We start from the raw sequence: 25,707 nt of genomic DNA on the forward strand, positions 1-25,707 counted from the left end.
ATTAATATTGTGATTATCTCTATTAGATCCTCTGGGCTCATTCAGAATGCTTTAAAAATCTAATTAGAAAATAAAAACAGTATTTTCAGGTTTTAATATTCCAATAGTCTTCAATGAGAACAAGATTAAAGATTTAAAAATAAATAAAATTCTAATGTGAGAAATGATTTATCCACACAATTATGATAAAATCTGATGGGCATTAACTGGCTTGCACAGCTTAACAAAGATTCAAACTACTTGACTACATGGCTGCTTTTTTTTTCCAAAAAGAATTTTCCATGTTTTTAGATTATGAAAGAGGATCATTTTCATTGGCTTGCATCTACTGTCCACGACATCCTTTCTGTGTAAATACACTTTACATAATACCTCGACAATAATCTGTGGGATGAATTGCCTTGATGTGCTGTTGATGTGTTAGAATTACAGTACATACCTCGGAGACATTTGATTCACAAATTACCTAACGTAGCTAAAATCAAACTTCAACTTTTTTTGAAGTATGCTGTGTATACAGAAAAGCACACATAAGTATGCTTATAATGAAACGAATTTAATAAAGAATTAAATTTTAAGTGCATTATTCATTATTGTAAAATAGCAAGTTTGCTCAACTGGCAACATACAGGAAGGAAAAACTTCCATAGGCATAATTTTTGTATGTTTGTTAATTTAGTTTTGGTTTTGATCTTTTTCAGGATGTGGTGGATACCCACCCTGGTCTCACGTTCCTGAAAGATGCTCCAGAATTCCACTCCCGCTACATCACCACGGTAGGCTGAGTCATCTTTTTTCTTAATATAACTCCATAAGTCACCTTTTTATTACCATCTGCTATCCAGAATTTCAAGTATCTATGCAAAAGGTAACATGGGTTATAATGATTATTTCAAGTGGAAGGAAGCTAAAATAAAATTGAATTCATAATTTCTTCATTTTTATCTATTTTCCTTCTTGTTTGTGCCCAATACTTACAAAATTAAAGTAATATATTCCTTCTATCTGGTCTTATGAGGCATATCTTTTTCTGTGTTATGAATATTGATATCCAGTTGATATTTAGCATTTCCAAATAAGACTGAAAAGAATTTTCAACAGTCTGTCCCTGTCCCAGAAAAAAAGATTGGTCTCTAGTACCTCAAAGTTAGAACTGGACATGATAATGAGAAAATAGCTTGTGTGTAATCAGAAAACGATGTAAGAATTTAAAACAACATGATCACAATCTCATTTTGTGAGGAGCTCGCACTCCCTGTTTCTCAGGCACAGCCTCATTTGGTCAGTCCCAGTTAGGTCAGGAATTATAAGTGAGCACACACAGGCCCACAGGGCACGGAGTAGCCATTTCATGCACTCTGCTCTAGCTCCCACATTATCTTTGGAGACATTCCACCGACCAGCCCCAGGGCCATTCACCAGACACATTCTCAAGTGAGATGGCCCTGGCATGTAGCTCAGATTCCTCAGCTAAACAGGGCCGTCTCCTCTGAGGACCACCCTCCTATACTTAGGGTACAGTTTGTTAGCCAAAGATATGTTAGGTCCTGCCGAGTTACAAAATACTACTGTTTTCTTTTTCTCCTGTAGGAACTTTATTTTTCATTCAGTGCTTTTGCATTGGCTCTCTTATGTCAGTATAAAACTTTGTAAGATTTTATTTGAGCCAGAAGGTGTCACTGTTATCTAAGACAATCTCAGAAGTTATTTTTTCCTGTTAACCGTGACACTCTACTAAATTACCTCTACCACAATCAACCTGGCCTGTCGCCCTGATATCAAACTTGGTTTATTTTTAATTGGTCTCCCTGTTACCACTCTAATTGCCCCATAGTCTAGCCTCCACAGAGCAAACAATTGTCCTTTTAAAAAATCAGCCAGATCATGTCACTCCTCTGCTCAAACCCTGCAGTAGTTTCCCAGCTCACATAGAATAAAAGCCAAGTCCTTGCCAAGATTCTCCATAATCCTCCCATACCCTGGCAACCCCTATTCTCTCATCTTATCTCCTACCTCCCACTCATTTTCTTACTCTGCTTCAGCCACCATGAGCAAACCAAACCCACTTCTGCCTCACATGCTTTGTTCTTCCTCTTTCCTTTGCTTGGAATGTTCTTCCTACAGATTTCCACATTGTCACTCCCTCACTTCATCCAGATATCTGCTCGGTTCCCTTATTTAGTGAGGCCCTCCCTGATCACTCTCTGTTTTTGTAACCCTTCTTCCTCTGCCCCCTCCCCCTACACTCTATTCCTTTGTCCTGCTTCATTTTTCTTCTTAGCTCCTATCATCTGATATTTAATTTTTTGTTTGTCCATCTCCTATCATCTGATAAAATTTAATTTTTTGTTTGTCCATCTCCTGTCATCTGATATTTAATTTTTTGTTTGTCCATCTCCGTCTCTATAATATAAGCTCCATACAAGCAGGAACTTTGTCTATGTCCTCAGTACCTAGAATATTCCCTGGCATATAATAGACAGTCAATATGTACTGAGTGAATACATGAAATTATCCATGTTTAAGAATTCTAGGCCAGGCACAGTGACTCATACCTGTAATCCCAGCACTTTGGGAGCCCGAGGCAGACAGATTACTTGAGGCGAGACATTCAAGACCAGCTTGGCCAACATGGTGAAACCCCGTCTCTACTAAAAATATAAAAATTAGCCAGGTGTGGTGGTGCACACCTGTAGTCCCAGCTACTCAGGAGGCTGAGGCACGGGAATCACTTGAACCCAGGAGGTGGAGGTTGCAGTGAGCTGAGATTCTTGCCCCTGCACTCCAGCCTGGGAGGCAGAGCAAGGATCTGTCTCAAAAGAAAAGAATTCTACGCTAGCTCTGGCTGCAGTCCCAAAGAGAATTATTGGGTTCTGAATATTGACTATTCTGAAAACTCAGGGCATATTAACAGCATAATTTAGATTCTTAAGAGTTAGAAAAGATCTTAGAAATAAACTAGTCCAAACTGTTGGAATTAAACTAGTCCAAACTGTTGGCATGTATTCTTAGATATTAAAGAACAAAAGAGTAAAATGGAAATAAGTTTTCTTTATGGTTCTAGTTTGATATTTCTTTTTTTTCTTTCATGATCTTAATGAACGCATAGTTTGATATTTTTTGAAGTACTTGGACATTCGATGGTATTTGGTCACCTAGCAAGTAGTCCTTAGGAAGTTTTTTGGTTTTTGTTTGTTTGGGTTTTTTTTGAGACGGAGTCTCACTCTGTCACTCAGGCTGCAGTGCAGTGGCACGGTCTCGGCTCACTGCAAGCTCCACCTCTCGGGTTCACGCCATTCTCCTGCCTCAGCCTCCCAAGTAGCTGGGACTACAGGCGCCCACCACCACGCCCGGCTAATTTTTTGTATTTTTAGTAGAGACGGGGTTTCACCATGTTAGCCAGGATGGTCTCGATCTCCTGACCTCATGATCCGCCTGCCACGGCCTCCCAAAGTGCTGGGATTACAGGCATGAGCCACCGCACCCAGCCATCCCCAGGAAGTTTTATGATTTTAGAGTGAAAAGCCATGAAACCATTTTGTTCACATATAATTCACATTTTCTGAGAAATAGCGTCATGTTAATAATAGTTGAACAAAATGAACTACACTGGCGAATTAATAGAGTACAGTTAATTATCTCTGCTGTAATATTTTCATGGCATTTGTATGTAACTTTACATTTGTTAAATTTCACTTTGTTATTAACATTGTGCTGCTTTATCTCCAATGCACAAAAGTGAATCCATTACTCAGAACTAGCCATTTAAGTATAAAATACTTGTGATAAAATGATGATAATATGGCAACTCAAAACAGCACCATAACATAAATAGTAAACAAGACCTAATTGGGAACATTTCACGTGAATATGTACTGAGATAAGTGAATAACTGCCATTGTGATAAACTCACAAAAAGGGCAAATAAAAAGTATAAAAACGATTATCTGGAAATAGAATTGTATTAGACTGGTTATCTTCTCCTCAGTGCCTTTTCTGTTATGAAACTTGGTCAAATAATGGCATGAAGTCATTGAAACTGTTGCATTATTTCAGAGTACAGTGAGTTTTTCTAGAACAAATGTAAAATAAGGCCTTCTAGTATGAAATTAATTTTGTTGTTAGACATAAAAGTGACCAAATTAAAAAGACATCGTTCTCTACCCTGCTCACAGCAAAAACAGTTAAGATCACACTATTTCTAAGAAACATATAAAGATCAGCCTCAGAATTAATGACAGATATCTCAGAAAAAGCAAAATCAGTTACCATGTGACTCTATTGAATGTTATATAATCTTCGTGGCATACAGTATAGAAGAACAATTAATATGTTTGCATGCTAGTGTTACTCAGTTCTTTCAGTTTGCATTTGGAAGAAACCACTGACATAGAGTGTGATCCAAGTATTAGCTTATGTGAGGTACATATATGATGAAGGAAAGTTAGAAAACTTTTATTTTCTATGTATCATTGAAAATCTATGTTACAGGAAAGGCTGTTTGTTTAGTTAATTATTTTGTCAGCTGTTTTTAGACTGGAAAGACAGACCATCAGCTATTTGTACAGCAAAGAAGGACATCATTACCCAAAAAAAGAGATTGAACCTAAAGTCAGTCTGTATTCTTATTTCCAAAAAGATTTAGAAGTTGAGAAATAAGCCTTTGATATTGAATGAAAATGAAGATTAGAAATACCAGCAAATCATAGCCGTTGAGTGCAGTTTTGCATGCTGTGCAAAAATTGCCAGTGAATAAAAGGTTTTGCTTATCCAAACCAACATATGCCAACTTTTGAGGAAAGAAGTGCTAACTTGAGTTTTTAAAATAAGCGATGAGATTTAAAATACTTCTTTATGACACTGGTGCTGGCAGTAGAGATATTTCTGTGGCTTGCTCCAATGGTGTGTCTTAGTGATATATTCAGTATCTTGATTGGCCAGAATCCACCACTGTAGGCTGAAATGCCAGGATTTTCCTTGTGGAGGGCAAGGTACTGATTTTCCTAAGATGACTAAGCTATAGTGGAGACTGCTCACACTAAGAGCTTACCAACTCTTCCCCCTTGAAAACTTTTCCTCTTAAGAGAGAAAAAAAAATTTTTGTTAGATATATTTTTTAAAGTCCTAACTCTACAGAAGACCATAAGGAAATACTTTTCTGAGCCATGTTAACCAAAGAGTGAATTAGAAATCTGTTCACCACTCCTGCCAAGTGAGAGCCAGGCTTCCAGCATTGGAGTTTGTTCTTCTGTACACATACATAGTAAAAATTATTTGTAACTTCTATGTCTGTATTTAATTCATTTTTCAAAAACTATATGACAGAGCCATCAAACATTTCCATTCCTGGTGACCTATACTTGTGAATTAGAGATTTCTAATTCAATAGATACCAAGAAGAAAGGAAACTGACTTACAATTTAACTTATATATCAAGTTGACTAAAGATCCCTTGGTGAAAAATGGTCAGATTTCATTTATTTCACTAGCAGAAAATAGTTATTCTAATTATGATTTATTGTAAAATTTTATTTGATATTTTAAATGATGATGAATTTTATTTACCTAGAAGAGAGCAGTTAGAAAAACAATAATTAGTGTAGAGTCAGCAGCTACATGCTTCACCACTAGATGGTGCTCCTGCCTCAGCCATCTAAAGTGCTGAATCAGTGATGTGGAAACCAACAAATGTGCTGATGAAGTGTGGCCACTGAATAAGGAGATTTAGGCTATGGAAAAATGGAATACAAATACATTGTCTTATAGTATTAGATAAGTAGGTTAGCACAGGCTAAAAATAGGAAATGCCTAACAGTCAAACTGTTTGCAGATTTTAAAAATTCAAAAAGAAGAGGAGAAAAATAAGCACGAATGGATACAGATTATAAAGTTTTATAATTTTTAACACAGTAATTTCATAAATAATATAAAGTATTTGAGTATATAAATATAAATTTTAGATAGAAAACTCATACTTTAAGATAAATTTACATTCAGAATCAAGAAATAAGGACAAAAATCTTCAATAGAAAAATGTGGTTTAATAATATATATTGAAATTGACTTTAACTTGAGAGAGGGGACATGGAATTATGATAAATCAAATTCTTAATGTTTATTTTCGTACATAAATTTTCTGTGCTAAAAATCCTCCATCGTTTTTACATGAACTTCCGCCAAGCTAGTGCTAAGAATACAGTATTGAGTAAGACATGTTCTCTGTCCTCAGTGACCTCAGAGTCTGAGTGGTTGGGGCCAGTAGAGAAATTAGGCACTGCCTAGTCCCAGCTCCCACCTAATTCAGGAATCCTGTCAACTTCTTCCTAAATACTTGTGGTGAAAAGATGAAAAGAAACCCAGCCACTTCATACAAACTCATTGCTTTATAGGGCTAATTTTAGGAAAGTCTTCCTTATATTGAAGCATTTCAGTATAAATGCATTTCTGTCTAGCAGTTGTAATTCTTCCCTTTGGTGAAACACAGAACAAGTCAGCTTCTTCTTCCGCCCAATAGCCACTCAGATCTTGATCACATCTACACTCTAGTCTTATTTTTTCTCAAGATTAAACATTACTACATTAGTAGCATCTTTCACAATCATTTTGAATATAGTTACACTTACCTGTTTTGTGGTTTTTGCACATTATATATGATTCTATCTATAAATAATAGACAAAAATACTGATATATGTGAAATACTAATTAGAGACCTTTCTTGGGTTGACATTCATCTGCTATGCAAAACTCTGAGTAGAGTTCTTCAAATAGTTATGAAGCCAACCCGTATTTCTCTAACACAAAGATAATACAAAAATCTTTGTTATGTAACTTTCAAACCTCATTATTTTATCAAGCAGTTATGGACCACCTGATATATAGAAAGCACCGTGGCTGGGCGCGGTGGCTCACGCCTGTAATCCCAGCACTTTGGGAGGCCGAGGCGGGTGGATCACAAGGTCAGGAGATGGAGACCATCCTGGCTAACACAGTGAAACCCCGTCTCAACTAAAAAACAAAAAATTAGCCGGGCATGGTGGCGGGCACCTGTAGTGCCAGCTACTTGGGAGGCTGAGGCAGGAGAATGGCGTGAACCCGGGAGGTGGAGCTTGCAGTGAGCCGAGATTGTGCCACTGCACTCCAGCCTGGGCGACAGGGTGAGACTCCGTCTCAGAAAGAAAAAAAAAAAAAAAGCACCATATAAGTTACTGGAATACAAGTCAAGAAAGACCTGGTCTCTTAGTGTTTGGAGGTGATGATGGTCAGGTGCACCAGCGTTTGGAATGTAACCACAGGGACAGCTAAAGGAGGCTCAGGTGGCAGTGGGAGCACAGAAGGCAGAGCTCTAGTCAGTCCCTGTCCTGGGGCCTCCCATGGAGCGTGGCACTTGAGCTCAATTCTGTAGGGTCAGAGGGGTTAGCACTGATAGCAGGGGTGGGGTAGTGAGCGCTGGACAGCTGAAATCTAGACCTTCATCCTGATGCTAGTTTTTCCCTGTTTAGAACAGTTGAAGAATCACTCTCTCTGCTGAAGAATCCAGAAAAGAAAGGTGGTTTAGTCCCTCATTAGGCCTACTATTGAGAAAGATGTCCAAATATCTTGCCTTATTTGTTCTTCTCGCACCAAAATATCTTGAAAAAGAGATCTAATTTCTTCCATGATAAAACCACCAAAGATACAGGATTTCTGTATTATTAGACTATCAAAATAAAAGCAGAATGCACCCCCCCACCCACCCAAAAAAATAAAGCTGCTCAAATTGCTCTTTTTACCACTGCTTCCTTTGGGAGAAGAAAAATAATCAGTGAAAGGGAAATGAAGTGGGTAGGAATGACTGCAGGTAAAATTGTTAAGAATGCACTGTGACCTCCTACCTCCAGGATTGCAGCTTCCATCTTCCTTCTCTGGTCTTCTCCTACACCACAGCACACACATCCTCAATCTAGACACATTTGCTTCTTATCTCCTCTTCTCCCATTCTATCCAAGGTTTTCTCCAGAGTTGCAATTCTGCTAAACCCATTAAAACACCAGCTAATAACAAAGATGTTCATGCCCAAATAAAAGTTAGGATATAAATTATCCCAGATGTATTTGAATTTCCATAGAGTCTAGAAGACCGAGAGTCTTCAAGACTCAAGTGAATAAGGCTATAATAACCAGAATAAGGCCCTCTTGAATCATACCACCTTGATAGCCACCCTTCTGACCAGTTAATCAATCATTAGGCCAACCCAGGAGATACTTCCCACCTCATATGCCTTCCCAAAACATTGAGCCCCATAAGCATTACTTGAATCAGGCATCACTGTATAAATTAGAGGTAAACAAAAGAAGTGATGTGAAGGCAGTTGGGAAGTGAAGACTTGTGAGCAGAGAATTTTTTTTATTCTTCTTGGAAGTACAGAGGCAAATCCAAAATATATAGATGTAGATTTAAAAATACAGTGCTGATTTTTACTAGGAATTACACTTAACATAATCAAAAAGCTAAAAGTTAAATTGGTCCCAAGTATGTTCATAAAATGGCCTTTGAGAAAGTAGTGGAGATCTTTAATGTTTTTATTTGGTTTTATTTTCCTTTTGGAACCAGGTTATTCAGAGAATATTCTACACAGTCAACAGATCTTGGAGTGGAAAAATTACTTCGACAGAGATAAGAAAAAGCAACTTTTTGCAAGTATGCCTTTCATTAGAATTCATGTGTAATGAGCAATTTAGATAATTTTCTTACTTTATTTAACAAATATTTGAGCGCTTACTCTATTCAAAGCACTGTCACTACTTTCAGTCATTAAGCATTTATCAAATACCTGTCGTGGGATGCTGGAATGTTTTGGGTGAGGGGGTAAAAATGAAGAGAATAATAAGGGATCTCTGCCTGAAGGCATGCACTCTGGAGCAAAAGAGTGAAGTGTACAGACACTAAACCTGACTTGATAAATTCCATAGACATGGATAAAACGTACAGAGGCGGCTTCACAATAGATAAGCCTGGAGGGGTGGGCTGGGGCTAGGTTGGGAAGGGTCTTGGAAAGGCCTTGGAAGATTTTAAACTTGATCCTTTCAGCAATGACTCTGTATCCAGCACCTGCTAGAGAAAAGTACTAAAAATTCCTTTTAAGAAAGAATACATTTCATTCAATTATTTTATTCATATTACCAAATGAGAGAGAAAGTATTGACCACTAGTGGGAGCCTTTTACCGAAGTAATCTTCATGCCTGATTGTTTAAGCTTCTGTAAACATAAAGTGAAATTGTTCACACTTGGAAGAAAATGAAATGTTTTATTTTTAAGAATCATACTAAATGGAATTTAGGCTAATAATACAACCTTACTTACTCTTTATTTTTTCCTATCTTCATCTGAGACAGAGTAATGAAGACTTGGCAAAATTAGCAGTCCATGATGGATATACAAACATTTTTTTATTCTAAAATGAACAGTCATCATCACAGTCAGTGTTGATATTTATTGAACACCTGATGCCTGCCTGGGCTCTCAGTAGGTAATATGGGATGGGTTAAAATGGCAGTAATTCCATAATACCTCAAGAGTAATGATGATAATCCCCCACTTTCCTGAAGCACATTATAGGTTGTAGTTTCTGAATCATTTTTATAATCCATAATTTTTTTTTTTTTTTTTTTTGAGACAGAGTCTTGCTCTCTTGCCCAGGCTGGAGTGCAGTGGTGCGATCTGGGTTCACCACAATGTCCGCCTTCTGGATTCAAGTGATTCTTCTGCCTTAGCCTCCTGAGTAGCTGGGACTACAGGCGTGTGCCACCATGCCCAGCTCATTTTTGTATTTTTAGTAGAAATGGGATTTCACTGTGTTGGCCAGGCTGGTCTCCAACTCCTGACCTCATGATCCACCTGCCTCAGCCTCCCGAAGTCCTGGGATTACAAGCGTGAGCCACCATGCCTGGCCTAATCCATATTTTTTCTTTTTTGGCTTTTAAAATTAATCCTTTTTTTTTTTTTTACCAGTGATAAAATTTGAGGCCCAAATATACTTAAATGATTTGTATAAGATCACACAAAAGTAAGTTGCTGAACTGGAAAAAGAACTCAAGTGTTCTGCTTCCTAGAGCATGATTTATTTTCTCCTCGCTTTCCTTCCCTGCCCCTTTCCTTAGTCTTCCTCTTCGTACTTAAACAATACTCATAAAACATTCAAATAATATGAGCACATCTAGAGTAATAAACAGAAGTCACTATTCTTCACTCTACCATTTTACCCCCTTTCCCCAGAGGGGGACCCATATCATCTGTGGTTTTATTCTCTTATATACATGTAGTATATAGTTTTGTTTTGTATGGCTGCTATTTTGAGGGTTTTCAAAAAATATATGGGTTCATACTATTCTCTTAACTTGGTTTTTTCACTTAACAGTGTCTCAGGGTTTTTTTCATTTCCATTCATATAAGTCTATCTCATTCTTTCAACTACTGCATAATCAATTCCATGGCTAAAGTGTAATTAATTACATATTCCTCTATTGATGTCCAAATCGTTTTCAGATTTCCTCTATTACAGTGATGCAGTGAACATCCTTGTATGGGGTATGAGTAAGAATGTCTGTAGAATAGACCACTGGAGGGAAAATCCTGGATCAAATAGTATGTGCATTTTTAATTTGGTGGATTCTGCCAAGTTACCCTCCAAAAAGCCTGCACTACTTTCACTTATATACTCACCAACAAAAGTTGCTGTCGTCTTCATTTTATGCCAATCCAGTGGGTAAAAATAATAGCGCTTTGCTTCTAAATATGTGCTTTATTGAAAGTGTTCTGCTTCTTACATATCAAAGGACATTTTATAAAACAAAGTAATATGAGCAAGTTTGGAAGACAGAAGAAAAACCATATTTTATCACCCTTATACAACTAGTATCATTTTTGTCTGTATTCATCTAGTCTTATTCATATGTATATATGCATTTTTAGGATTTTATGTAGTTCTTAGTGGGTACAATCTTGTATCCTATATTTTGTACTTACCATATCATGGTCTTCAGTGTAAACTTTATAATTTTTACTAGCTGCATAATTTTCTATCCAGCAGATTTACCATAACTTAATAATAATTTATGTTGTTGTTAGTTTGCCAGAGCACTTTGGTTTTCCAGTGTTTATATTTTAAAAAATAATTTTTTGTCAGAATACTAACATTTGTGTTATGAAATAGTCCTCTTTGTCCCTCATGTGTTTCTTTTTTCTTTTTTTTTTCTTTGAGACGGAGTTTTGCCCTGTCGCCCAGGTTGGAGCACAGTGGCGCGATCTCGGCTCACTGCAACCTCTGCCTCCCGGTTTCAAGCAATTTTCTGCCTCAGCCTCCCAAGTAGCTGGGATTACAGGCGCCTGCCACCACACCCAGCTAATATTTGTATTTATAGTAGAGACGGGGTTTCACCATCTTGGCCAGGCTGGTCTTGAACTCCTGACCTCATGATCCACCTGCCTCAGCCTCCCAAAGTGCTGGGATTACAGGCATGAGCAACCACACCCAGCCCGCTTATGTTTTTCACCTTGCATTCCATATTAATATTGATACCTGTTTATTTTTGTTAACATTTAACCGTGTATGTTTGTCCATCTTTTTTTTAACCTTCCTTATTTTTTTTAGATGTATCCCTTATAGATGCATATAGGTAGATCTGTTTTGGGGGCATGGTTTTGATACTTAATCAAAAAAATATTTTAATAGGGAGATGTATCACTTATCTTTATTGTGACTATTCATATATCTGATTTTATTTCTGCCATTTCATTTTTTTATATTTCTTACATTCTTTTGTGCTTTTATTTTTCTTTCTGAATCTTTCACTTCTGAATATGTCTTTATTTATCTGCCCACTTACATAATAATTTGGCTGACAACAGAATTGTGGGTTCAGTATCATTGATTCTGGATTTTGCCGTAGGGGAGTACAGTGAGTCAGGGAAGACCCAGGTTTACTTCCAGCTCAGGGCCCTGCATCTCTACCTGCCATGCCTATGCCAGGCCACCATGTATCATCACTATTGTATATATGAGTAACCTTTGTGATATAAACTTAATTTTATTACAAAATGAAACCCTATATGTTGATGCCTACCCCTCTTAATGTTGCTCACATAACTTTGAAAATTAAAAACAGTATTTGTTTCTGGCCAAATAATTAAGACTATGATCTAATTGTTCTTTTCATGCCAGTCTCTGACCTCTGACCAACTATAGTCCCCAAGGTAATGGTACTTCCCTTCCCCTGCTTTTACATCCTCCACAGCATCCAGCCCTTCACTGAGCATATTACAGAGCTCAGTAAATGCTTATAGATTGATTGGTTGATTAAAGGTAGGATGAGGTTGCCTATTAAAGGGTTTCTGATTTGGTACCAGAAAAAAATTTTAAATTCAGTTTAAAACAGAAATTCGCTAGACTCTGCACAGTGGCCAAAGCTGCTTTTTCATAATGTTTAAATTCTTCTTTTCATATAATTTCAGACCCTAGCACTTTTGGAAGAAGAGGAAGATATAAACCAAATTACAGATTACTTCTCCTATGAACATTTCTATGTTATTTATTGTAAATTCTGGGAACTAGATACTGATCACGACCTCTACATCAGCCAGGCCGATCTGTCTCGATACAATGACCAGGGTAAGTGATTCTGTAGATGCTAAGACTTAACCATTTTAAAGAGTTATATAAATTATCACTACTCATTATGAGAAATTCCCGTTTGCTAAATTCTAAACCTAATCAAGTCCTCTTTACAGGCCAATAATTTTTAAGAGGGGATGAGTGAAGATAATATAATTTTTTATTAAATTAATAAAAGGCCAGATGTAGGAGAAGGAGTTTGGAAGTAAGTAACCAATCACAGTCTTAGTTTTGATAAAGCGATGAGTCTTTATACTGGTGTGTATTTTCTGATGATGAATTGAATAAGATCCACACCTGTTTAAATCTGTTTGAAAGAGAATATGTATACACCTTTATAACCCTTCCCACTTAACAATATTTCTGTAAAAAGCCAAGCATGAAAATAATGTTTTTAACTTGCCAAGTTTTATTTTCAAGGACTCACAAAAATTTACTTTTGGAAATTTTGTTCCAGAAAGATACGTCTCTGCAGATGAATTTTGCGTGCTTTCTTTTGTCAGAAAACAAAAAATTACATATCACATGATAATACCCTTTTTACTTCATTTTTGCCAGCGGTAAATCTAGAACCTGTTGCCTACTGATTTAATATCCTTGGTTTTTTTGAGACAGCGTCTCACTTTGTCACCTAGGCTGGAATGCAGAAGCATGAACACGGCTCACTGTAACCTCAACCTCCTGGGCTCAAGCCATCCTACCACCTCAGCCCCTAAGTAGCTGGGACTACAGGCACATGCCACCATACCTGGCTAATTTTTTTGTATTTTTTTGTAAAGATGGTGGTATGGTTTGGCTATGTTCCCACCCAAATCTCATCTTGAATTGTAGCTCCCATAATCCCCACCTGTTGTGGCAGGGACCTGGTGGCAGGTAATTGAATCATGGGAGTGGGTCTTTCCCATGTAGTTCTCATGATAGTGAATAAGTCTCATGAGAGCTGATGGTTTTATAAAGGGGAGTTCCTCTGCACATGCTCTCTTGCCTGCCACCCTGTAACATGTGCTGTTGCTTCTCCTTTGCCTTCCGCCATGATTGTGAGGCCTTCTCAGCCATGTGGAACTATGAGTCCATTAAACTCTTCCCATTATAAATTACCCAGTCTCAGGTATGTCTTTACTAGCAGCATGAGAACAGACTAATATAGTAAATTGGTACCAGTAGCATGGGGCGCTGCTGTAAAGATACCCGAAAATGTGGAAGGGACTTTGGAACTAGGTAATAGGCAGAGGTTGGAACAGTTTGGAGGGCTCAGATAAAGACAGGAACATGTGGGAAAGTTTGGAACTTCCTAGAGACTTGAATGGCTTTAACCAAAATGCTGATAGTGATATGGACAATAAAATCCAGGCTGAAGTGATCTCAGGTGGAGATGAGGAACTTGTTGGGAACTGGAGTAAAGGTCACTCTTGCTATGCAAAGAGACTTGGCATTTTGCCCCTGCCCTAGAGATCTGTGGAACTTTGAACTTGAAAGAGATGATTTGGGGTATGTGGTGGAAGAAATTCCTAAGCAGCAAAGCATTCAAGAAGTGACAGTGCATAAAAGTTTGGAAAATTTGCTGCCTGATAATGCAGTAGAAAATAAAAACCCATTTTCCGGGGAGAAATTCAAGCCCACTGCAGAAATTTGCATAAATAATGGGGAGTCAAATGCTAATCACCAAAACAATGGGGAAAATGTCTCCAGGGCATGTCAGAGACCATCATGACAGCCCCTCCCATCACAGGCCTGGAGGCCTAGGAGGGAAAAATGGTTTTCTGGGCCAGGCCTGGGGCCCCCCCTGCTCTATGCAGCCTCTGAACATGGTGACCTGCATCCCAGCTGTTTCAGCTCCAGCCATGGCTTAAAGGGGCCAACATACAGCTCAGGCCGTTGCTTCAGAGAATGCAAACCCCAGCCCTTGGTGGCGTCCACGTGGTGTTGGTTCTGTGGGTACACAGAAGTCAAGTATTGAGATTTGGGAACCTCCACCTAGATTTCAGAGGATGTATAAAAACACCTGGATGTCCAGGCAGAAATTTGCTGCAGGGGCAGAGCCCTCATGGAGAACCTCTGCTAGGGCAGTGTGGAAGGGAAATGTGGGGTTGAAGCCCCCACAGAGTCCCTACTGGGACACTGCCTAGTGGAGCTATGAGAAGAGGGCCACAATGCTCCAGGCCCCAGAATGGTAGATCCACCAATAGTTTGCACCATGCACCTGGAAAAGCCACAGATACTCAATGCCAGCCCATGAAAGCAGCAAGGAAGGGAGCTGTACCCTACAAAGGCACAGGGGTGGACCTGCCCAAGGCCATGGGAACCTGCCTCTTGCATCAGTGTGCCATGGATATGAGACAGAGTCAAAGGAGATCATTTTGGAACTTTAAGGTTTAATGACTGCAGTATTGGATTTCAGACTTGCATCGGGCCTGTAGCCCCTTTGTTTTGACTGATTTCTCCCATTTGGAACAGGTGTATTTACCCAATGCCTGTATCCCTGTTGTATCTAGGAAGTAACTAACTTGCTTTTGATTTTACAGGCTCATAGGTGGAAGGAAGTTGGGTTGTCTCAGATGAGACTTTGGACTGTGGACTTTTGAGTTAATGCTAAAATGAGTTAAGACTTTGGGGGGACTGTTGCGAAGGCATGATTGGTTTTGAAGTGTGGGGATCTGAGATATGGGAGGAGCCATGGTTGGAACAATATGGTTTGGCTGTGTCCCCACCCAAATCTCTTATTGAATTGTAGCTCCCATAATCCCCAAGTGAAATGGGAGGGACCAGGTAGGAGTTAATTGAGTCATGGGGGCGGGTCTTTCCTGTGCTGCTCTCATGATAGTGAGTAAGTCTCATGAGAGCTCATGGTTTTAGAAAGGGGAGTTCCCCCACACACACCCCTGCTGCCATGTAAGATGTGCCTTTGCTTCTCCTTTGCCTTCCACCATGATTGTGAGGCCTCCCCAGCCATGTGGAACTGTGAGTCCATTAAACCTCTTTCCTTTATAAATTACCCAGTCTCAGGTATGTCGTTATTAGCAGCGTGAGAACAGACTAATACAGATGGGGTTTCGCCTTGTTGCCCAGGCTGGTCTCGAACTCTTGGGTTCAAGTGATCCACTCGCTTTGGCCTGCCAAAGTGCTAGGATTACAGGCATGATCCACCACACCTGGCCTGATTTAATATTAACTAAGCACTAAGATACATTGATTCATTCTTCTCTCATAAGATTGTCCCTGTTCTGTCCTTAAATGCCTTCTCAGGCACTGTTGATTTTTAAATGATACTTTAGCTTATTAGATATAGCAGAGTATGAATCTTAAATAAATGCATTGAATTTTGTTTTTGTTTTTTGGTATGGCTGTTACTAATGGTATGCATCTTAAGAAAAGGCTCATCAGGCAGGGGGCAGTGGCTCATGCCTGCAATACCAGCACTTTGGGAGGCCAAAGCGAGTGGATCACTTGAACCCAAGAGTTCGAGACCAGCCTGGGCAACATGGTGAAACCCTGTCTCTACAAAAAATACAAAAATTAAAAATTAAAAAATGTCTTTCAAATGACAAAAATACAAATATTAGTCAGATGTGGTAGCACATGCCTGTAGTCCCAGCTACTCAGGAGGCTGAGATGGGAGGATCTCCTGAACCTGGGGAAGTTGAGGATGCAGTGAGCCATGATGGTGCTGCTACACTCCAGCCTGAGCGACAGGGAGACCCTGTCTCAAAGAAAAAAAAAAAGGTTTGTTGTATATGATGTCAGGTTTCATAGAGCTTTGCGTATTTAAGAAATAAAGTTGGCCAGGCGCGGTGGCTCACGCCTGTAATCCCAGCACTTTGGGAGGCCAAGGCAGGTGGATTACTAGGTCAGGAGTTCAAGACCAGCCTGAACAACATGGTGAAACCCCATCTCTACTAAAAATACAAAAATTAGCCGGGTGTGGTGGTGCGTGCCTGTAATCCTAGCTACTCGGGAGGCTGAGGCAGGAGAACCGCTTGAACCCAGGAGGCAGAGGTTGCAGTAAGCCGAGATCACACCACTGTACTCCAGCCTGGGCGACAGAGCGAGAAGGGGCCACTGAATACTCCATAATTATCCACTCACCAGACTGTCCCTAATGAGACAACATAGAATAACATGATCTTCAATTTTAGGAAGCTAAACCTTCCCAAGCTAAAAAATGCCTTTAAAAAAAGATTTTGGCTTTACAATTAAATATCCTTGCCTTTCCTATATAGCCCTCTTTTTTTCTATCTAGTACAAATTAACCCCATAAACCAATGTTCAGCAAAATATAGAAGGTCTTTATATAAGCTTTGGTGTGTGGCCAGGCACGGCTGTTCCAATACACATATTCCCAACTTTCTTTGGCCAAACCAATTTACCTTTATGCTAACTGTACCTAACTATGTGCAGAAGAATTCGATGCTGATAGCTGCTAAGTCCCTAATGACCTTATTGATGATCCTGAAATTTTAGTGTGCATGCCATTGCCTGGGGCATCTGTTAAAGAACAGGCTGGGCATGGTGGCTCACGCCTGTATTCCTAGCACTTTGGGAGGCTGAGGTGGGCAGATCACCTGAGGTTGTGAGTTCAAGACCAGCCTGCCCAACATGGAGAAACCCCATCGCTAATAAAAATACAAAAAAATTAGCCAGGTATGGTGGCGCATGCCTGTAATCCCAGCTACTTGGGAAGCTGAGGCAGGAGAATCACTTGAATCCGGGAGGCGGAGGTTGCAGTGAGCCGAGATCACGCCATTGCACTCCAGCCTGGGCAACAGGAGCAAAACTCTGTCTCAAAAATAAATAAATAAATGAAAGAACAGGTCTCTAGTCGTGTCTCTCTCTCTCTCTCTCTCTCTCTCTCTCTCTCTCTCTCTCTCTCTCTCTCTCACCAACATGCTAACTTAAGCCACGATTATCTATGTGAATAAAACTTCCTGATGGAATTTCTAAAAATCTTATGTTATATCATGTTAAACCCTGGGCTTTTATAAAATGGGAATATAAGAAAAGTATGTTTGTAGTGTGTTTGAGTAGCTTTTAAAAAAACTACTTGAAAGCATTCTCCATTGTTTTAACTTCGTTTTGTTTTATTTTACATTGTTTTAGGAGCTTACACAATCAGTTCTCCCTTGAATTTAAGGATAAAACTTGTCTTGTTTATAGGAAAATTGGTCTCATTGGATAAGATCAAAACAAATCCTATATATTTTTGTCCTAGCTGTCAGGATGTTCAGACCTAACTTAGCATTCAACTATATTAATACTTCCCAGATGTCAGCCACATTCATTTGCCTGTTATTTTTTAAAATTATATTAAAATTATGCGTAAATAAAAATGTACTCACATTCTCATCATGGACGATGGTTACGGTTTAGCTTGTAGCTAGTGAAAAGCAAATTTGTGAAAAGTATTGCCTTTATGGAGCATGTTTCTAACTAGCTTTGCAATTTTTTTTTTATCTACATTTAGCTTCATCAAGCAGGATTATTGAAAGGATATTCTCTGGTGCAGTAACAAGGTAAGAAAACGTTTAATGCTGTGTTTAAAAATGAACTACAAGTAATACCATAACCATCTCATTTTAGCAAAGCTTCCTGAATAATTTGGCAGTGCTATTGGACCAAATAATATCCTATAAAACATAGTTATGGCTTAATACAAGACAGTAATTCTTTTTTAAAAAAATAATTTCAACTTTTCTGATTCAGGGGGTACACGTGCAGGTCTGTCACATGGGAACACTGGGTGATGATGAGATTTGGTGTATGGAGGATCCTGTCACACAGGCAGTGAGCACAACACCCAACAGGCAGTCCCTCAGCCCTCACTGTGCTCACTCCCTACCCACTTCAGCAGTCCCCAGTGTCCATTGTTCCCATCTTTATGTCCATGTGTACTCAGTATTAGCTTCCACTTACAAGTGAGAACATACGGTATTTGGTTTTCTGTTCCTGTGTTAATTCGCTTAGGATGATGGCCTTCAGCTGCCTCCATGTTGCTGCAGGGACATGATTTCATAATTTTTATGGCTGCATAGTATTCAATGGTATATATGTACCACATTTTCTTTATCCAGTCTACTGTTGGTAGGCATCTAGGTTGATTCCATGTCTTTGCTATTGTGAATAGTGCTGGATAAACATACAAGTACCTGTATCTTTGTGGTAGAATGATTTATTTTCCTTTGGGTATATACCCAGTAATGGGATTGCTGGGTCGAATGGTAGTTCTGTTTTAAGTTCTCTGAGAAATCAACTGCTCTCCACCACAGCTGGACCCATTTACATTCCCACTAACAGTGTATAAGTATTCCCTTTTCTCCACAGCCTCACCAGCATGTGTTACATTTTGACGTTTTAGTAGTTGACATTCTGGCTGTTGTGAGATGGTATCTTGTTGTGGTTTTGATTTGCATTTCTCTAATGATGAATGATGTTGAGATTGTTTCATGTTTGTTGGCTGCCTGTATGTCTTCTTTTGAGAAGTGTCCGTTCATGTCCTTTGCCCATTTTTAAATGGGGTTGTTTTTTGCTTGTTGATTTAAGTTCGATATAGAGTCTGGATATTAGACCTCTGTTGGATACATAGTTTAAGAATATTTTCTCCCATTCTGTAGGTAGGTAGTTAAATCTGTTGATAGTTTCTTTTGCTGTGCAAAAGCTCTTTAGTTTAATTAGGTCCCAATCATCAATTTTTGGTTGTGTTGCAGTTGCTTTTGAGGACTTAGCCATAAATTATTTGCCTAGGCTAATGTCAAGAAGGGTATTTCCTAGGGTTTTTTCTAGAATTGTTATAGTTTCAGGTCTGATATTTAAGTCTTTAATCCATTGTGAATTAATTTTTTATATGGTAAAAAGTAAGGGTCTGGTTTCATTCTTCTGCATATAGCTAATCAATTATCCCAGCACTGTTTATTGAATAGGGAGTCTTTTTCCCGTTGTTTGTTTTTATCGACTTTGTCAAATATCAGATGGTTGTAGGTGTGCAGCTTTATTTCTGGGCTCTCTCTTCTGCTCCATTGGTCTGTGTGTCTGTTTTTGTACCAGTACCATGCTGTTTTGGATACAGTAGCCTTATAGTGTAGTTTGAAGTCAGGTACTATGATACCTCTCGCTTGGTTGTTTTTGCTTAAGATTGCTTTAGCTATTGGGACTTTGTTTTTGGTTCCATATGAATTTTAGAATGGTGTTGTTTTTTTTTTTTTCTTAAAAAAAAACTAGTCTGTGAAAAACGACATTAGTTTAATAAGAATAACATTGAATCTGTAGATTGCTTTGGGGAGTATGGCTATTTTAACGATATTGAATCTTCCTATCCATGACCATGGAATGTTTTTCCATTGGTTTGTGTTATCTCTGATTTCTTTCAGCAGAGTGTTGTAGTCCTCCCTGTAGAGATTTTTCACCTCCTTGGTTAGCTGTATTCCTAGGTATTTTATTTTGTGTGTGTGTGGCTATTGTAAATGGGATTGCATTCTTGATTTGGCTTTCAGCTTGAATGCTATTGGTGTATTGAAATGTTACTGATTTTTATACATTGATTTTGTATCCCGAAACTTTAATGAAATTATTATTAGTTCTGAAAGCGTTTTGGCTTAGTTTTCAGGCTTTTCTAGGTATAGAATCATGTTGTCAGCAAAGAGAGATAATTTGACTTTTCCTATTTGGATGTGTTTTATTTCTTTCTCTTGCTTGATTGCTCTGGCTAAGACTTCCAGTACTATGTTGAATAGAGTGGTGAGAGTGGTCATCCTTGTCTTGTTCTTGTTCTTAAGGGGATTGCTTCTAGCTTTTGTCCATTCAGTATAATGCTAGCTATGTGTTTGTCATAACGGCTCTTATTATTTTGAGGTATCTTCCATTGATGCCTAACATGAGTATTAATCCTATATCTAAATACAGGTAACAGCATTTTATCCCAGTGATTATTTGCATTCATATTAAAAGCCAGATTTCTTTTCTTCATATTTGCAAATGCCTTCTGGTTTCACCCTCTAGACCTTTGAAAATAAGATAGGCTGTGGAAGGGTTGCCCTTTATGAGGCATTTAGCATTATAATTTAAAAAATTTTAACTGACATACTACTTTATTTCTTAGCCTATCATCCTGATAAATGGTTCTGAGTAATTGCTCAGGAAATTTTATAACCATGTGTTTTCTTTAGGGGAAAAACAATACAGAAAGAGGGAAGAATGAGCTATGCAGATTTTGTTTGGTTTTTGATCTCTGAAGAAGACAAAAGGAATCCTACCAGGTATGATTTCTAAGTTTCCTTTGCCAAGATGTTAAACACATGCACAAAGCTTGAAAAAGTCATGGTGTATATTATACCTAGTGAGGCCAACTCAACGTGGCAATACTAAGATGAATTAGACTTAGTTTCTGCCGTCTCGGAGCTCTCCGTCTCAGGAGATTGGCACTGAATCCATGTTCATGGCATATCAAGAGAAGTGCTGTTACCCACAGAAACAAAGGTGAAGTGACATGTAAGCTGATGACAAGTAGGGCTAGTAAGCATTCATGTGGAATATGGGAATAGATGCTATGAATTACTTGTTTTATCATCTTACTGGTTGAATGGTAAACCATTACTATTAGAGAGGGAAAGCAAATTGTGGATGACTAGTATATAAGAACACATCCTCAGTCTGCCAGTTGAAATCATCTATGCTTTTCCTTGGCACTCCCAGACATAGCTTGATTGGAGTTATTAATTTACACATTTCTTTCTTTCCATGTCTTGTTTAGGCAAAAAATCTAGATGCCTCGCTTCTTATCCCTACTTTGTGTAACACAACGCACTGTAGTTTGTGCTCAGTACCAAGGGATGGAGGGGTTATAGACCTTGATGGTACTTGCAGGTACAGCTAACTCAACTATCTTAATATTGATTCGAAAAGTTATCTAAATGTTGTATATGTCCAGGTATGGTGGCTCACATCTGTAATGCCAGAACTTTGGGAAGCCAAGGCAGGAGGGATTGCTTGAGGCCTGGAGTTTGAAATCAGCCTGGGAAACATAACGAGACTCCATCTCTACAGATAAATGTTTTAAATAGCTGGGAATGGTGATGCACACCTGTAGTCCTAGCTACTCGAGAAGCTGAGGCAGGAGGATCACTTGAGGGCAGGAGTTTGAGGCTGTAGTGAGCTAGGATCATGCCATTATACTCCATCCTGGGTATAGTGAGCAGGACACCAACTCTAAAAAAATAAATGTTGAATATATTGTTTAGAAGATGTTGAAATAAAAATAAGCCATTTCTTGGAGAGCTTGTTAGATTATTTTTAAATAACTTTGTTTTCCATTTCAAAAGTAATAATTTATTTAGAAAACATGAATGAGCAGAAGAAAAATAAATTTTAATACCAGTAATTTTAATACCCAGAAAAAAATATTAAAAGTTCATATATATGCTACTCTTTTTCATATACCAGCAGAGTAGAGTATCTCTTATCTGAAATTCTTGAGATCAGAAGTGTTTCAGATTTTGGATTTTTTTCAGATTTTGAACTGTTTGTTACACTTACCAGTGAGCATCCCAAATCTGAAATCCAAAATTCTCCAGTGAGTATTTCCTTTGAGTATGAGTTTTGAGTGTCTTGTTGGTACTCAAAAAGTTTTGGATTTTCAGCTGGGTTGCAGTGGCTCACACCTGTAATTTCAGCACTTTGGGAGGCCGAGGTGGGCAGATCACCTGAGATCAGGAGTTTGAGACCAGCCTGGCCAACATGATGAAACCCTGTCTCTACTAAAAATGTAAAAAATTAGCCAGGCGTGGTGATACATGCCTATAATCCCAGCTACATGGGAGGCTGAGGCAGGAGAATTGCTTGAACCCAGGAGGCAGAGGTTGCAGTGAGCTGAGATCGCACCATTGCACTACAGCCTGGGTGACAAGAGCAAAACTCCATCACCAAAAAAATATATATATTAAAGATCTAAATGAAATGAAGACATCCCATGTTCATGGATCATTGTTAAGATGGCAGTAATTCCCAAACTGATCTACAGATTCCTAACAAAATATTAGTTAGTTTGAGTCAAAAGCTTTTTTTGTTTTTCGATGGTTTTTATTTTTTTTCCAGAAATGGAAAAGCTGAATATTAAATTCCTATGGAAATACAAAGGGACCACAGTAACCAAAACAATGCTGAAAAAGTACAGAAAAAATGTAGGACTCATATTTCCCTATTCCAAAATATTTCACTACAAAGTGAAAGTAAACAACTCTGTGTGGTACTCGTATCATGATGGACATAAAAATAAACAAAATTGAATTGAGAGTTCAGAAATATATCCTCACATTTAGGGCTAATTGATTTGCAACAAGGATGCTGGATGCCAGGACGATCCAATGGGGAAAAAAAACAGTGTTTTTAATAAATAGTGCCGGAACAACTGGATATCATACAAAATAATATTAGGTTGGTGCAAAAGTAATTGTGGTTTTTGCAATTTCTTTTGGTGGCCAAAACTGCAATTACTTTTGTACCAACCTTACCTTTGGACCCCTAGTTCACATACTACAAAAATTAAGTCAAATGGATCACAGCCCAAAATGTATGAGCTAATGCTATAAAAAATTCAGAAGAAAATAGAGGAGTAAATTTTCACGACCTTGGCTAGGCAGTTTCTTAGATGTGACACCAAAAGCATAAGTATCAAAAGAAAAAGTCAATGAATTGGACTTCATCAAAATTTTAAATTTTTGGCTGGATGTGATGACTCATGCCAGTATTCCCAGTACTTTGGGAGGCCAAGGCAGGTGGATTGCCCAAGCTCAGGAATTCAATACCAGCCTGGGCAACATGGTGAAACCCCGTCTCTACCAGAAATACGAAATGTAACCAGGCACAGCGGCACGCGCCTGTGGTCCCAGCTACTTGGGAGGCTGAGGTGGGAGGATCACTTGAGCCTGGGAGGCAGAGGTTGCAGTGAGTTGAGATCACGTCACTGTACTCCAACCTGGGTGACAGAGTAAGACCTCATCTCAAAAAAAAGAAAAAATTAATACTTTTGTGCATCAAAAGATATGATCAAGAAAGTAAAAAGACAACCCACAGCATGGAAGAAGATATTTGCAGATGATATATATGATAAGGAACTTGTATCTAGAACATATAAACAACACTTACAACTCAATAATAGACTGACCAGTTTAAAAAATGGACAAAGGATCTGATTAGATGTTTCTCCAAAGAAGATATATGCATGGCCAATAAGCACATGAAAAGATGCTTGACATCATTAGTCATCAGAGAAGTGCAAATCAAAACCACAATGAGATACCACTTCACACTAGGATAGTTATCAAAGAGTCAGATAATAACAGGTGCTGCCAAGCAGGTGGAAAAATCGGAACCCTCATACATTACAATAGGAATGTAAAATGGTGCAGCCGTTACAGAAAAGTCTGACATTTCCTCAAATGGTTAAACATATCATATGACCTAGCAATTCCACTCCTTAGGTATATACTCAAGATATATGAAAACATGTCCACACAAAAACTTGTACACCCATTTTCATAGCAGCGTCATTCACAATAGCCAAAAGTTGGGATCAGCCCAAGATAAACAAATGTGATCTATTCATATAACCAAGTATTATACAGCAGTAAAGAGAAATGAAATACTGATACATACTACACACGACTGGATCTTGAAAACCTTATGTAAAGTAAAAGATGCCAGTCACAAGACACCACATACTGTATGAATTCATTTATATGAGTTGTCCAGAATAGACAAATGTATAGAAACAGGAAATAGGTTAATGGATGCCTAATCCGTGGAGAGCCTGTGGTGAAATGAGGAATGAGTGCTAATGGGTATGGAGTCTCTTTTTGTAGGTGATGAAAGTGTCCCTATATTAATTGTAGTGATGGTTATACAACTCTGTGAATGTTAAAAACCCTTGAATTGTACATTTTAAAAGGAACAATTATATGATATGTGAAATATATTTTGGTAAGCCTGTTTAAAAAAAAGACTTAGAATACTAGAAAGTATGTTCTGTAAACAAAATGGAATTAATGTAGAAATCAATATGAGAAAGACAACTGGAAAATCTCCACACACTTGGGTATTAAACAACACACTTCTAAATAATCTATGGATTAAAAAGGATGACTCAAGGGGAATTAGATATTCACGAAGTAATAAAGGAATGCTACAAATAACGTATACATACACAGATATGGTGACCTCAATGAAATGGACCAATTTCCTTTAAAGTCACAAATTAATAAAACTCACCTAAAAAGAAATACATAACCTGAATAGTCAGATGTCTATTAAAGAAAATTGAATTCACAGTTTAGAACCTCCTGAAAAAGAAATCTCCCAGCCCTGATAATTTAATTGTATTCTTACAGTCATTTGAAGAAGAAATAATACTGAATTCTGCACCACATTTTCCAGAAAACAGAAAGGGAAGGAATAATTCCCAACTCATTTTATAAACAAAACCAGACAAACACATACCAGAGAATAAAACTACAGACTGACATCCCTCTTGAATATAGACCCAAAATCAGTAACAAAATACTAGTAAGTCAAGGCTTAGTTCCTCAAACTTTCAGGTCCCTCTTCCAGAATCTGCAGATGCCCCAAGGGAAAGATGGTCCCAAATGCTAGGTGCCCCTCTCTGGATTTTCTTCTAGATCTGGATACCATAATTCTTCACTGCCCTGTTAATTCTCCAGCATCTTTGAACTGTTTTTTTTTTCTATGGGGGGAGGTCCCCTCAGTTTCCTCAGTGGAAGGCATGATCCCACTTAGGTAATCATTAGCAGAAGTGGAGCTCTTCAGATCAGTTTTTCACATCATGAGATCCATAACTGGATTCTCATAGAATGTTACCAACAAAGGTTTTTTGAGTCAAAAGCTTTCTTAGACCTCCTTTGGTGCTCCTTTTCTACCTTGCATGTTGCCTTTCTCCTAACAGCTCACATATTGAGATTCCATTCTTTGCCAGTGACTAGTATTTTATATGTAATGGCTTATTTAATCCTCATATCACTATGAGTTGAGGTGTCAGTGGTCCCATTTTTCAGTTGATGAAAC

General features: G+C 38.3%; 1 protein-coding gene across 9 annotated transcripts in view, besides 1 other annotated feature; it reads left to right on the forward strand.

The window, feature by feature from the left end:
* PPP2R3A (protein phosphatase 2 regulatory subunit B''alpha) overlaps positions 1-25,707 on the forward strand; it is a 182,167-nt gene that overhangs the window by 104,049 nt on the left and 52,411 nt on the right. For 8 of the 9 annotated variants that reach the window (NM_002718.5, XM_017006787.3, NM_001190447.2 and 5 more), the window contains 5 exons: positions 702-776; positions 8,591-8,677; positions 12,489-12,645; positions 18,107-18,155; positions 20,802-20,891. In NM_002718.5, the coding sequence (NP_002709.2) occupies positions 702-776; positions 8,591-8,677; positions 12,489-12,645; positions 18,107-18,155; positions 20,802-20,891 (458 nt within the window). Of the gene's footprint in view, positions 1-701; positions 777-8,590; positions 8,678-9,373; positions 9,508-12,488; positions 12,646-18,106; positions 18,156-20,801; positions 20,892-25,707 lie in introns of those variants that run through there. The other variant, XR_001740196.3, reaches the window with a different exon arrangement.
* Positions 140-1,339: an enhancer, noted in NCBI's record as "MED14-independent group 3 enhancer chr3:135788758-135789957 (GRCh37/hg19 assembly coordinates)". NCBI's record gives its function as "activates an origin of replication core promoter dependent on BRD2, BRD4, P300/CBP and CDK7 cofactors, and independent of MED14, by STARR-seq in HCT116 cells {active_cell/tissue: HCT116}" and the evidence as "EXISTENCE:reporter gene assay evidence [ECO:0000049][PMID:35650434]".

The sequence above is a fragment of the Homo sapiens genome, chromosome 3, assembly GCF_000001405.40.
Source record: "Homo sapiens chromosome 3, GRCh38.p14 Primary Assembly".
In the NCBI taxonomy this organism is placed as follows: Eukaryota; Metazoa; Chordata; class Mammalia; order Primates; family Hominidae; genus Homo; species Homo sapiens.